A 14,040-nucleotide genomic window follows, 5' to 3' on the forward strand; every position below is an offset into this window, starting at 1 on the left:
GATATGAGGAAGGTTCCCCTCTCACCACGATGTCGGGGGCAGAGCAAGATAAAATAAGACCTAAAGCTCCCGCCTGGCCCGGGCGCGGTGGCTCACGCCTGTAATCCCAGCACTTTGGGTGGCGGAGGCGGGTGGATCACATGAGGTCGGAAGTTCGAACCAGCCTGAGAAACCCCGTCTCTACTATAAGTACAAAATTAGCGGGGCCTGGTGGTGCATGCCTGTAATCCCAGCTACTCGGGAGTCTGAGGCAGGAGAATCGCTTGAACTCGGGAGGCGGAGGTTGCGGTGAGCTGAGATCGCGCCACTGCACTCCAGCCTGGGCAACAAGAGTGAAACTCCGTCTCAAAAAAAAAAAAAAAAAAAGAGCTCCCGCGGCCACCTCCTTGTTAATTAGCAATAGAAGTTAAAAAAATTCTTTTGGCTTCATCAAAAGCATCCACTTCCTGCCATATGTTCTTCAAATATGAAAAGTTGTAGAAAGAGTTTAAAATATACGTTTTCACAGTGCAAATTTTTTAAATATTGAAAAGTTATCCCAATTCCTATTGAATTAAGCCCGGGTATACAAAAAGAATTAGAGCCATTTTGACCACCAGGAATTTTCCTGTTAGTGGGGTGCAAGGGACAAGGGAAGTGGAGCAAACGAAAAACAAGATACACTTGAACCGGAAAATACAGACTAATCAGAGGATTAGGTGAAAAGTGCTATAGAATTCAGAAAAGCGATGTCACTGCAGGATGGAGTTGCTAATAATCTACAGCAGTGTGAGACAACTGTAGGAATTGTCCCACTGCATGTGCAAATAAATACACATGCTACATCATAGTATGTACATCTTAAATTTGGCAAATTCAACCGTAAGCATGTTGCTTAGCCTGTGATTAGTTCTTCCATTGGTAATTCACAAAACAAAATTTTTCCCCAATTGTCCCTGTTGTTTTCCCCCAAATTAACATACCGCAAGGTGGCTCATGCCTGTAAAATCCAGCACTTTGGGAGGCCGAGGCACGGGGGGTGGGGGGGATCACGAGGTCATGAGTTTTGAGAGCAGCCTGGCCAACATGGTGAAAACCCGTCTCCACTAAAAATACAAAAATTAGCCGGGCGTGGTGACAGGTGCCTGTAATCCCAGCTACTCGGGGGGCTGAGGCAGGAGAATCACTTGAACCTGGGAGGCAGAGGTTGCAGCGAGCAGAAATTGTGCCACTGCACTCCAGCCTGGGCGACAGAGCAAGACTTCGTCTCAAAAAACGAAACACACACACAAACTCTTCATGCCCTTTCACAGGAATTTAAGATCATGTTCCAAAATTTTAATTGTGGTAGGTTTTTTTTTTAAGCATGTCCCTTCTAATGTTTGAATCAGTTTATTCCATTCATCACGTAAATCCAGCATAAAAGCTCCACTTAAGCCTTTGAAAACACTAAATTGTGTAATTTTGAAGAGTATTTTGCCATGGTAATCTTAATTTTTCCAGCACTAAATTTTCAGTTATGCGAAATCAGGTCCTTTATGTCTAGATGACATTCTTGCCCTCATCACTACCATCAAGAAAAAGGAGTCCAAGTCCACCACACAAGTCAAAAAGTAAGTAAATGGCCAATTTATCAAAGTTGACTTCTCCAACCACAATAACATGAGGCTTTTAAAGTACGTTTCTGGATAGAAAGGAAACTTATTTAATGAGGACCTACTAACTATTGAACACAGCATCCTACTTATCCTTCTCCATAAAGTTAAATTGCCAAGGCTCCTAGGAATAGATCCTATGGAAGCAAGGACAGTGAGTGTGGTGTGTGTGTGTGTGTGTTTTGAGACAGAGTTTTGCTCTTGTTGCCCAGGCTGGAGTGCAATGGCACTATCTCAGCTCACTGCAACCCCGCCTCCCGGGTTCAAGTGATTCTCCTGCCTCAGCTTCCCGAGTAGGTGGGATTACAGGCATGCACCACCAAGCCCAGCTCATTTTGTATTTTTAGTAGAGACGGGGTTTCTCCATGTTGGTCAGGCTGATCTCGAACTCGTGACCTCAGGTGATCCGCCTGCCTCGGCCTCCCAAAGTGCTGGGATTACAGACTTGAGCCACTGTGCCCAGCTGTGTGTGTTTTGTTTTGTTTGAGACAGAGTCTCACTGTTGCCCAGGCCAGAGTGCAGTGGCATGATCTTGGCTCACTGCATGCAACCTCCACCTCCCGGGCTCAAGCAATTCTGCCTCAGCCTTCCAAGCAGCTGACACTACAGGCACTTGCCACCATGCAGGACTAATTTTGTATTTTTAGTAGAGACAGGGTTTCATCATGTTGGCCAGGCTGGTCTTGAACTCCCAATCTCAAGTGATCCGCCCACCAAGGCCTCCCAAAATCCTGGGATTACCGGGCCGACCATACATGCAAACATTCTTACACTTGCTGAATACGCTCTACTATTATCACACTCTCATGCCTCAGGTACTGCCTAAGGTTGTACACAGACCTGTAATAAGATCAATGAGGCTAAGTATGCTCACAATCAGAATTAGATAATTGTCAATCTTCATCCCCATTATTCATCTCTACATTTTTTTCTCCTATAGTACTTCCCGCTTTCTAACATGCTATACTATTTATTTATTTATTTATTTATTTTTGAGACAGAGTCTCACTGCTGCCCAGGCTAGAGTGCAGTGGTGTGATGACAGCTCACTGCAGTCTCAAACTCCTGGACTCAAACAATCATCCCGCCTCAGCCTCTCCAGTACAATTTTTAAAATTTTTATTTTTAGAGACAGGATCGTTGCTATGTTGCCCAGGCTGGTCTTAACTCCTGGGCTGTAGCGATTCTCCCACCTCAGTCTCCCAAGTATCTGGGATTACAGGCACAATCCACTGGACTTGCTCAGAGATCTTTATTGTACACTGATATACCCAAGTGCCTAGAATAGCACCTGGCACATAGTGGGCCCTCAGTATTTGTTGAACTAATGAATGATCATTGCTCCTTTGGAAGCCTACAAACCCCACAGAAGCAGGAATCACAACTATCTTGTTCTAGGCTTTATTTTCAAACCCTAGCTTACTGCTGATACACAATGGAAGCTCTAAAAGATTGCTGGATTAAAGTGGTAGCTTGAGTTAATTAATACACTGGGCCCACTAATTCTTTGTACAAGGAAGATAGATGCCTGGCTGAGATTATTTAAAGCATTGTTTCTGTGGGAAAGTGTTTTGTTTTTTTGTTTGTTTGGGACGGAGTCTCACTCTGTCGCACAGGCTAGAGTGCAGTGGTGCAATCTCGGCTCACTGCAACCTCCGCATCCCGGGCTCCCGAGTAGCTGGGATTACAGGCGTACACCACCACTCCCAGCTAATTTTTGTATTTTTAGTAAAGGCGGGGTTTCCCCATGTTGGCCAGGCTGGTCTCCAACTCCTGGCCTCAAGTGATCCACCTGCCTCAGCCTCCCTAAGTGCTGGGATTACGGGCGTGAGCCACTGTGCCTGGCCTGTGAAAAAATGTTTTCTGAGCTTCAATTTGTATATATATTTATAGAACAAAACTAGTTCCTACATTGGCAGTGCAGGTAGGGCAGAACCAGAAGCGGGACAACACACACAGACACCACTAACAACAGGGCCGCTCCCTTAGGTCTGGTCTTAACCAGCTCTAGGCCAGGTGAAGAGGCTAACTCAACCATGACTGCGTGTCTGTCTCGCCATTGCTTTCTTTTCTCTAGTATAGATGCTCAGCGTCTAATCAGAGACTGATTCTCAACTGGCGTGACCAAAGGACAGTTATATTATCTCCAGTCTCAATTTCCTTATCAGTAATAACAGGCATTTTATCCACACTTTCAGTTTGTGAGAAATAAGGCATGTAGACGGTTTCACAGAGGGTCGGGAACAAGATCAACCCCTAACAAACGTTAGCCATTATGACTAATGACTTTTACTAGTTTTCATTTTTGTCTTCCCTCTTCTCACTTTAACCTAATCAGGCTGGGCGTGGTGGCTCACGCCTGTAATCCCAGCACCCTGGGAGGTCGAGGCAGGCGAATCACCTGAGGTCAGGAGTTCGAGACCAGCCTGCCCAACATGGTGGAATCCGGTCTCTAATAATACAAAAATTAGCCAGGCGTGTTGGCGCGCGCCTGTAGTCCCAGGTACTCAGGAGGCTGAGGCAGGAGAATCGCTTGAACCCGGGAGGAGGAGGTTGCAGTGAGCCGAGATGGTGCCACTGCACTCCAGCCTGGACGACAGAGCGAGACTCCGTGTGAAAAAAAAAAAATTAACCTAATAGAGGAAAGCACGCGCCCACCCCCTCTCTGAGCATGCGCACCAACAGAATAGCCGCGCCCTTTCCTAATTAAATCATTAACCAAGGTGAGGGTAAGGAAGAAAAGGAGGCTTGGCTAAGTCCCACTCTGATGTGATCACGTTAAAACGGTGTAAGGCACATTACATCATAGGTTAAAAGGCCTAGAAAACTCCGCGCTCCCCTTGCCAGAACTGCAGACTCGCGAGCCTAAGTCTCCGAGAACTCAGGGATTGTGAAACCCGCCCCGACTCTGCGCTAGCAGCGGGATCCAGGCACCCGCAGCTAACTGGGGAGGGAGATGACTGCCTGGCTGACTTTTCATTGGCTCAGAGTCACAAAGGCTGCAGGTTCTTCCCCCTTCCGGTCGCTGAGTGGTTGAGGCCGGAAGACAACGCTCATCGTCATTGGCTGAGCCCGGCTGTCAGTCCTTTCGCGCCTCGGCGGCGCGGCATAGCCCGGCTCGGCCTGTAAAGCAGTCTCAAGCCTGCCGCAGGGAGAAGATGGCGGTCGCCGTGAGAACTTTGCAGGAACAGCTGGAAAAGGCCAAAGAGAGTCTTAAGAACGTGGATGAGAACATTCGCAAGCTCACCGGGCGGGATCCGAATGACGTGAGGTAAGGGCCTAACGGGAACTCGGAACTCGGAGCTCGGAGAGGCAGCCCTCAGGTCGGGGTGAATTGGGGGCGGGGAGGGCGGCCAGCCTTAAGAAGACTGGAACCTCGAGGCCTGTTCGCGGGGCGGCGGGTAAAACCCTGTTGTCGCCGAGGTGGAGAGGCCCCAGGTCCCCTCCGTAGAGCGCTGGTCTCAGGTCCCTGAGGAAGGAGAGCGAGGCCTGGGTGCGCCGGCATGCTTTCTTGGCCTGTGAGAAGACCCGGACTGCTGATTCCCGCTCTCGGCCCTGCAGGCCCGGAACTGCAGCACAAAGCCCCTTCCCGCTCCGGCGGACACCCGGCCCGTTGCTGGCCCCGAGACCCTGCCGGGACGCAACAAGCCGCCTTACCCCAGCTTCCTGTCCACGTGCAGCCTCCTCGGGGATGGCGGGATGGGGACCTGATCCAGGCTTGTTAATGTGTGGGGGCATCGAGGTGAATATAATTTCTGTGACACAGGTCCTGGAGAAACGAGGAAGTTAAATGAAATAGTACTTCCTGTCCTGTTTCAGACATTTAGATTTATTTGAAACTATCTTTTTGGAACTTTTGTGATTTTTTCTCCTTATGATCCACATCTCTGAAAGTATTTGGGTGCGACTGTGTGTGTCTACATATGATTTTGCACTGATTTGTAAATCTTTTACAGGCCCATCCAAGCCAGATTGCTGGCCCTTTCTGGTCCTGGTGGAGGTAGAGGACGTGGTAGTTTATTACTGAGGTAAGATTTCCTTTGGACTTTACTCATGCTGAAACTACTGGTACTTTACTAAATATGTTGGTTTGAACAAAACCTGTGATAAAATCAATAACCCAGTGTTTGTCGTCTTTGTTTTGTTTAATGTTGTAATAGACTAGATTTCTGTATAAATATAGTTATCCTGAAAAACTGGAGGTTGAAGAATATATTAAGTTTACCAATTTTGAGTGAACTTAATTCTTATAAAGTAACACTATAAAAGCATTTTGGAATGAATGCCCGTTTAAGGCTACTTTAGTTGGAAAGATTTTTGAAAGTTTAACCATATTCTCTTGTCAAATGGAAATACCATTTATCTTGTATTTCAAGTGTTTTATGTTGAACATTTTAAATTTCAGGCGTGGATTCTCAGATAGTGGAGGAGGACCCCCAGCCAAACAGAGAGACCTTGAAGGGGCAGTCAGTAGGTAGGTTTAAAAAAAGATTCCTGAAGGCTTCTTTAGTTTCTGAGGTACCACACAAATATAAATGTTTATTAACAATAATTCTGTTTCAGCAATATTAAAATTGAGTGGTATGCCACTCCCTGCCCCCCCCAAGTTCTGTTGGTATTTGACTGAACAGTTGACTATCAGTTCCCTCAAAACGCAGTTCTGCACTCATGATAACCTAAATTTTATCCAAATAAAGGTCATGTGAAGAGTAAAATTGGAAAAATTGTCAATTAGTACCATTTTTTCTGACTTGTACTTGAAAAACTTAACCAGTTTGAAATACTTAGAAAATACAGGAGAGCAAAATTGGTTTGGGCGTTAGTTCACACATTGTAGTATCCTTTCTCTGCTGGAGGAAAGAATAAAATGGGATGGAGACTTGATAGAACAAAGCTTCTGGAAACGAGTCCTAGAAGAGAGGGCATTTGCCCTTGGTGTGCAGTTACATAAATACCTCAGTGGTCATTTAAATTAATTTTTGGCCAGGCACAGTGGCTCATCCCTGTAATCCCAGCACTTTGGGAAGCCAAGACCAGCAGATCACTTGAGCCCAGGAGTTGGAGAACAGCCTAGATACATGGTGAAATCCCATCCCTACAAAAAGTACAAAAAAGTTACCCAGGCATGCTGGCTCACGCCTGTAGTCCCAGCTGCTTGGGAGGATGAGGCAGGAGGATCACTTGAGCCTGGGAGGTCGAGGCTGCAGTGAACCGTGGTGGCACCACTGCACTTCAGCCTGGGTGGTATAGTGAAACCCTGTCTCAAAAAAATTAATATTTTCTATGACAGGCTGGGCGGGGAGCGTCGGACCAGAAGAGAATCACGCCAGGAAAGCGACCCGGAGGATGATGATGTTAAAAAGGTATTGAGATTGAAAGAACTTAAATGAATGTAGTACCTTCACTTTACTACATTTAAAAGCACACCACTCATATGCTAGTTAAATTACTGAGATTTTCTTTTTCTGCAGCCAGCATTGCAGTCTTCAGTTGTAGCTACCTCCAAAGAGCGCACACGTAGAGACCTTATCCAGGATCAAAATATGGATGAAAAGGGAAAGCAAAGGTATTTCCCTGGGGGAAAAAAACTCTAGTGAAATAATGCAGTTATAAGGAAAATCAAGGGATTGTTCAAGCATCCTGTAGTATTTCTTAGAAAATGATGGGTTTAAATGAAATGGATCCTGTTGACAGTAAATTTTCTTATTCTGTTCTTTAGGAACCGGCGAATATTTGGCTTGTTGATGGGTACCCTTCAAAAATTTAAACAAGAATCCACTGTTGCTACTGAAAGGGTATTTATCCAAGTTTTGTTTTGCATCATATATTTAAGTTATCAAAGTAGTAGATTAATGTTTTTTTTAAAAAATCCTTAAAGCTCTTTTAAGACCTAACTGTAAACCTGAAACAAAGCCAAGTAAAAACTTGGTTTAACTTCTTATAGAACAGCTTTACTTAAACATTGTGTTGGAATATAACAGTTGTTGATATCATAGCTAATAGCCTTGAAATTTAGATATGTGAAAAAAAAAAGCCTCAAGTCTCCATTTCCTTAAAGACAAATTACAGTCAGTACCAAGTGCTAAGTTCTAGTTAGTTGGTATCCTGAATTGAAAATGTGAAGCGGCCAGGTGCAGTGGCTCATGCCTGTAATCCCAGCACTTTGGGAGGCTGAGGCAGGTGGATCACCTGAGGTCAGAAGTTTTTCGAGACCAGCCTGGCCAACATGGTGAAACCCTGTCTTTACTAAAAATACAAAATTAGCCGCCTGTGGTGGCATGCGCCTGTAATCCCCAGCTATTTGGGAGGCGGAGGCAAGAGAATCACTTGAACCCTGGAGGTGAGGTTGCAATGAGCCAAGATCACACTATTGTACCCCAGCCTGGGCAACAGGCGCAAAACTCCATCTCAAAAAAAGAAAAAATGTGAAGCATATGCAGATACCTTTTTTTTTTCTTTTTCTTTTTTTTTGTAGAGATGGGGTTTTATCATGTTGCCCAGGCTGGTCTGAGCTCAAAGCAATCCACCCACCTCAGCCTCCCAGAGTGCTGGGATGACAGGTGTGAGCCACTGTGCCCGGCCTGCAGATACCTTTACATAGTGAAAAAAAAAAAAAAAAAAAAAATTTTTTTTGAGATGGAGTTTGGCTCTTCTTGCTCAGGCTGGAGTGTAGTGGCGTGATCTCAGCTCACTGCAACCTCCGCCTCTGGGGTTCAAGTGATTTCTCCTGCTTCGGCCTCCCAAGTAGCTGGGATTATAGGTGCGTGCAACCACGCCCTGTTAATTTTTTTGTGTTTTTAGTAGAGATGGTGGTGTTGGCTTCTGACTTCAGATGATCTACCTGCCTCTAATGTTTCACGTAATTAGTATGTGTAATAACTTTTTATCATAATTGAACTGAAATCATATATACCTTTTGTTGTAACTATTTCAACACGTAAGTATTAAAGCAGGCTACTTAACTTTTAGCAAAAGCGGCGCCAGGAAATTGAACAAAAACTTGAAGTTCAGGCAGAAGAAGAGAGAAAGCAGGTTGAAAATGAAAGGAGAGAACTGTTTGAAGAGAGGCGTGCTAAACAGACAGAACTGCGGCTTTTGGAACAGAAAGTTGAGCTTGCGCAGCTGGTGAGTGGTAATTTGGAATTCTAAGATTGGTAATCCTTTGTGTTTACAAAAGCACTGACCCTTTACCTTTTCTTTAGCAAGAAGAATGGAATGAACATAATGCCAAAATAATTAAATATATAAGAACTAAGACAAAGCCCCATTTGTTTTATATTCCTGGAAGAATGTGTCCAGCTACCCAAAAACTAATAGAAGAGTCACAGAGAAAAATGAACGGTAAGTATGCGAAGAGGTCCATTGAATTGTTCATAGTGGGTAAGGTAATATGTTCATATGCACACGTTTGTTTTCTAAAATAATTATGATTCAGTGATTGGTTTGCTGTGTTTGCTTTTTTTTTTTAAATAAGATAATAAGATATTCTAGGCCGGGCGTGGTGGCTCACGCCTGTAATCCCAGCACTTTGGGAGGCTGAGGCAGGCAGATCATGAGGTCAGGAGATCGAGACCATCCCGGCTAACATGGTGAAACCCCGTCTCTAGTCTCTACTAAAAATACAAAAAAAATTAGCTGGGCATGGTGGTGGGCACCTGTAATTCCAGCTACTTGGCAGGCTGAGGCAGGAGAATCACTTGAACCTGGGAGGCAGAAGTTGCAGTGAGCCGAGATTACGCCACTGAACTCCAGCCTGGGCAACAGAGCTAGACTCCATCTCAAAAAAAAAAAAAAAGATACATTCTGAGATGCTGGTGAGTTTGTAGTATAGGAATATTTGTATCATGATGGAGTTTAATGTGAAAGTTATAGACAGTGCTTATGCATCTGTATTCCTTAAGCATTTGTGTAAAATTACTTTTTTTTGCATGCTATTATTGTTCTGATAAAATGCTAATAAGACAAATGTGAAAACCAACTCAGTTTCTAGATGGAAAACACATGGAAGGATAGACACTGCTAAGATGATGATTTATCTCTTTGGGATCAGAAAAATTAATATATATGATTTTATGCCAAAACTGGTTCTGTTTTACAGAAGTTTTATTTTTCATCAGACATAAAGATTGATCTGTTTTCTTCATCAGTTAGAAAATGTGTAGTTCTGTCTGCCACAATTTCTAGTATGTAGATTTCCCATGGATCTTTGCTTTTATAATTTTATGTCAGTTTGTGGTTACTTAATTGCCATAATCTTTTGTCATAACTTTACAAAAACAAATTCAGATGAAGCTTAATGACAATTTGTGACCAGTTATAAAATTATGGCTTTGAATTTTCTTAATCGGTAAATTTTACACATGTAAATTTTTATTCTTTAGCTTTATTTGAAGGTAGACGCATCGAATTTGCAGAACAAATAAATAAAATGGAGGCTAGGCCTAGAAGACAATCAATGAAGGAAAAAGAGCATCAGGTGGTGCGTAATGAAGAACAGAAGGCGGAACAAGAAGAGGGTAAGGTGGCTCAGCGAGAGGAAGAGTTGGAGGAGACAGGTAATCAGCACAATGATGTAGAAATAGAGGAAGCAGGAGAGGAAGAGGAAAAGGAAATAGCGATTGTTCATAGTGATGCAGAGAAAGAACAGGAGGAGGAAGAACAAAAACAGGAAATGGAGGTTAAGATGGAGGAGGAAACTGAGGTAAGGGAAAGTGAGAAGCAGCAGGATAGTCAGCCTGAAGAAGTTATGGATGTGCTAGAGATGGTTGAGAATGTCAAACATGTAATTGCTGACCAGGAGGTAATGGAAACTAATCGAGTTGAAAGTGTAGAACCTTCAGAAAATGAAGCTAGCAAAGAATTGGAACCAGAAATGGAATTTGAAATTGAGCCAGATAAAGAATGTAAAACCCTTTCTCCTGGGAAAGAGAATGTCAGTGCTTTAGACATGGAAAAGGAGTCTGAGGAAAAAGAAGAAAAAGAATCTGAGCCCCAACCTGAGCCTGTGGCTCAACCTCAGCCTCAGTCTCAGCCCCAGCTTCAGCTTCAATCCCAGTCCCAACCAGTACTCCAGTCCCAGCCTCCCTCTCAGCCTGAGGATTTGTCATTAGCTGTTTTACAGCCAACACCCCAAGTTACTCAGGAGCAAGGGCATTTACTACCTGAGAGGAAGGATTTTCCTGTAGAGTCTGTAAAACTCACTGAGGTACCAGTAGAGCCAGTCTTGACAGTACATCCAGAGAGCAAGAGCAAAACCAAAACTAGGAGCAGAAGTAGAGGTCGAGCTAGAAATAAAACAAGCAAGAGTAGAAGTCGAAGCAGTAGCAGTAGCAGTTCTAGTAGCAGTTCAACCAGTAGCAGCAGTGGAAGTAGTTCCAGCAGTGGAAGTAGTAGCAGTCGCAGTAGTTCCAGTAGCAGCTCCAGTACAAGTGGCAGCAGCAGCAGAGATAGTAGCAGTAGCACTAGTAGTAGTAGTGAGAGTAGAAGTCGGAGTAGGGGCCGGGGACATAATAGAGATAGAAAGCACAGAAGGAGCGTGGATCGGAAGAGAAGGGATACTTCAGGACTAGAAAGAAGTCACAAATCTTCAAAAGGTGGTAGTAGTAGAGATACAAAAGGATCAAAGGATAAGAATTCCCGGTCCGACAGAAAGAGGTCTATATCAGAGAGTAGTCGATCAGGCAAAAGATCTTCAAGAAGTGAAAGAGACCGAAAATCAGACAGGAAAGACAAAAGGCGTTAATGGAAGAAGCCAGGCTTTCTTAGCCATTCTTTGCAGCAGAAGATTTCTTGATAAAAAAGGATTACCTTTCCTTGTAAAGAGGATGCTGCCTTAAGAATTGCATGTTGTAAAAAATCTTTTTGGAAAATACAGACTGTTTGTTTACCAGACATTCTTGTACTTTTTGCATAATTTTGTAAGAGTTATTTATCAAAATTATGTGAGGTTCCAAAATATGTAAAAATGATAATAATAAAAAAAGATTAACATCCCTTGTCATCTTTTTTAAATATCCTATACTCTTCAGTAAGAATCTGTATATTTTAATAGGCAAATCTTTAAGTCTGTTCCCTTCTAATTCTGTATCATACATTGCTTTTGTAGAAATAAATGTGTGTTTATTTCATTATTTTTGGGATGTCCTCGTTGACACTTGTATAATAAATATCCTCTTTATCATTTTCAGCTTTTAACACTAGATACTGCACGTGATTAGAATGTTTTTGAAGGTTTCCTCGTTTTTATTTGCCTTGGACAGTTTTTAGTTGTCAGAGTCAGAGCTTTGCAGCTTTGAGGGGGAACAGTTCTCTTTAAAATCATTTGCTATTTTCTATTCTCCCTTGTTATTTTAATCTAAGCATTTTCCCCCGTTTCTCATATTTTAACCATATGTTCGGTAGATAACTAAACAGTATGATCTGGTTGGCATTTTCTTCCTGATGATGGGAGCGTCATTCTTTTGTCTTCATGGTTACTTGTGTGATATAACATACATCTGTTAAAGAAAATCACTTCTTTCTAGGGGAGGGAGGTAGAAAAGTATCTTTCAAACTTGGTTTTTGAGTTTGTGTCTTGTCTTAACTTTGTGTTGGCTCTAACTTAAACATGCTGATATGTGTTTTCAAGAATTTTGTTTAAGGAAGTATTGTATGGAAGTCCACAAAATGAAGGAAGTTCATCTAGGTTTTAATATGTAAGCAAGATAACACACAAGTGTACCAAGTGATTATTAACTTTGTTGTTTTACAAATTTGTATGAACTTGGAGTATCTGTTGGCCATTACTATACATGTGCAAATAAATGTGGCTTAGACTTGTGTGACTGCTTAAGACTAGTACTTGTATTAACTTTCTGATGCTTTATACAAGAGAGCACTTAAATTGCATCCTTCTTTGAGTTTAACACTGTAGCTTTAGCCTTGACTTTGAATATTCATTTTGCCTTCCCTTGACAAGTAAATGGTTACAGTGAAAATGTGAAGAAGTATTTCCAGTTAGTTTTTGTGTGTATATAACTCACTTGTGTAAGTGGATGTGTTAAAAGATCTCTTTTTAAAAATCCTTTTATTGGAGTAATTATTAAAACAGTAAATGCATAGAGCTTTGCACAGCAATCTGTATCCATGAGCCAGTTCCACCACTAGTACCTTCATCTGTGGCTTATCCAGCAAAATGTTTCATTTCCTGTGTGCCCTGGCAGGAAAGAGGTTGGTAAATAGTGAATTAAAGGGATGATCATAAAATTTAACCTGGTTAAAAAGCACCTTATTTGATGACAGTTTGTATGCACTAAAATCCTTTATACAAATTAAGTTTTGTCTACTGATTTGTACCTGGAAAATCTGAACAATATTCATGTTGCTTACAGAAAAGGCTAGTATTGGCTTGAAGCTCTACTATAGGAGGGGTAGTAATGGGGGTATAATGAATGCTTGAGGGGAAAGTAATTTTCAGTAATTTCAGTTAAGCGCTACTGATCATAGTATGTGAAAGGAATTTTTCTTATATGGAATGCTTGATGAATTTGCATGTCATCCTTGTGCAGGGGCCATTTTAATCTTTTTTTTTTTTTTTTTTTTTCTCGGAGACAGGGTCTTAGTCTGTCACCCAGGCTGGAGTGCAGTGGCACAAACAATCTGACTGCAGCCTCGACCTCCTGGGTTCAAGGGATCCTCCCACCTCAGCCTACCAAGTACCTGGGACTACAGGTGTGCACCACCATTCCCAGTTAATTTTTTATTTTTTGTAGAGACAGGATCTCACTATGTTGCCCAGGCTGGTCTCGAACTCCTGGGCTCAAGCGTTACTCCTGCCTTGGCCTCTGAAAGTGCTGGGATTACAGGCGTGAGCCACCACTCTTGGTCTGTGTTCCAATTTTAGTATGTGCTGCTGAAGTGAGCACAGGAATTTTAATAACAGATTGTACTAACATTTTTAAGTGGTATTCATTTTTAGGTTGGAAGGTTTAATTTTTTAAATATAGTATTTTAGATTTTTTTGTTTCCGATCAGTGCTTTATCCTTGAACTAAAATTTTATGGAACTTAATGTTCAGAGAACCATGGAATTGCACTTGAAGAGACACAAGGAAGAAGAATGTAAAAGTAATGACAGTTTCCCAGGGGGAAAAGACATGCAGTAGTCTTTTTTTTTTTTTTTTTTTTTGAGATGGAGTCTCGTTCTGTCACCCAGGCTGGAGTGCAGTGGTGCGATCTCGGCTCACTGCAACCTCCGCCTCCCAGCTTCATGCAATTCTGCCTCAGCCTTCCAAGTAGCTGGGATTACAGGCGCACACCACCACACCTGGCTAATTTTTTTTTTTTTTTTTTTTTTTGTATTTTTAGTAGAGTTGGGGGTTTCACTGTGTTGGCCAGACTGGTCTCGAACTCCTGACATCGTGATCCGC

The 14,040-nt window shown here is 42.7% G+C and overlaps 1 protein-coding gene and 1 long non-coding RNA gene across 2 annotated transcripts, besides 6 other annotated features; one reads left to right on the forward strand and one right to left on the reverse strand.

Moving 5' to 3' along the window:
* Positions 484-1,073: an enhancer, noted in NCBI's record as "H3K27ac-H3K4me1 hESC enhancer chr14:39640175-39640764 (GRCh37/hg19 assembly coordinates)". NCBI's record gives its function as "activates a minimal SCP1, AML or CMV promoter by ChIP-STARR-seq in primed H9 embryonic stem cells {active_cell/tissue: H9 hESC(primed)}" and the evidence as "EXISTENCE:reporter gene assay evidence [ECO:0000049][PMID:30033119]".
* Positions 4,155-4,294: an enhancer, noted in NCBI's record as "active region_8287". NCBI's record gives its function as "activates an Ori minimal core promoter by ATAC-STARR-seq in GM12878 lymphoblastoid cells {active_cell/tissue: GM12878}" and the evidence as "EXISTENCE:reporter gene assay evidence [ECO:0000049][PMID:35858748]".
* On the reverse strand, positions 4,388-5,393 carry PNN-AS1 (PNN antisense RNA 1). The gene is made up of 2 exons (NR_186208.1): positions 5,292-5,393; positions 4,388-4,825 (listed from the first exon to the last, which is right to left on the reverse strand). It is a non-coding gene; the product is annotated as a PNN antisense RNA 1 (long non-coding RNA).
* Positions 4,457-5,656: an enhancer, noted in NCBI's record as "MED14-independent group 3 enhancer chr14:39644148-39645347 (GRCh37/hg19 assembly coordinates)". NCBI's record gives its function as "activates an origin of replication core promoter dependent on BRD2, BRD4, P300/CBP and CDK7 cofactors, and independent of MED14, by STARR-seq in HCT116 cells {active_cell/tissue: HCT116}" and the evidence as "EXISTENCE:reporter gene assay evidence [ECO:0000049][PMID:35650434]".
* Positions 4,495-4,614: a silencer, noted in NCBI's record as "silent region_5687". NCBI's record gives its function as "represses an Ori minimal core promoter by ATAC-STARR-seq in GM12878 lymphoblastoid cells {active_cell/tissue: GM12878}" and the evidence as "EXISTENCE:reporter gene assay evidence [ECO:0000049][PMID:35858748]".
* PNN (pinin, desmosome associated protein) lies at positions 4,767-12,733 on the forward strand. Its single transcript, NM_002687.4, has 9 exons — positions 4,767-4,905; positions 5,591-5,662; positions 6,040-6,108; positions 6,925-6,997; positions 7,106-7,200; positions 7,354-7,429; positions 8,604-8,759; positions 8,837-8,975; positions 10,016-12,733. Exons 1-9 carry the CDS (start codon positions 4,793-4,795, stop codon positions 11,374-11,376), a joined length of 2,154 nt encoding a protein of 717 aa, NP_002678.3. The 5' UTR covers positions 4,767-4,792; the 3' UTR covers positions 11,377-12,733.
* Positions 4,775-4,984: an enhancer, noted in NCBI's record as "active region_8288". NCBI's record gives its function as "activates an Ori minimal core promoter by ATAC-STARR-seq in GM12878 lymphoblastoid cells {active_cell/tissue: GM12878}" and the evidence as "EXISTENCE:reporter gene assay evidence [ECO:0000049][PMID:35858748]".
* Positions 6,836-7,336: an enhancer, noted in NCBI's record as "H3K4me1 hESC enhancer chr14:39646527-39647027 (GRCh37/hg19 assembly coordinates)". NCBI's record gives its function as "activates a minimal SCP1, AML or CMV promoter by ChIP-STARR-seq in naive H9 embryonic stem cells {active_cell/tissue: H9 hESC(naive)}" and the evidence as "EXISTENCE:reporter gene assay evidence [ECO:0000049][PMID:30033119]".
* Positions 12,734-14,040: the final 1,307 nt, after the last annotated feature.

This window comes from Homo sapiens, chromosome 14, assembly GCF_000001405.40.
Source record: "Homo sapiens chromosome 14, GRCh38.p14 Primary Assembly".
NCBI classification, from domain to species: Eukaryota; Metazoa; Chordata; class Mammalia; order Primates; family Hominidae; genus Homo; species Homo sapiens.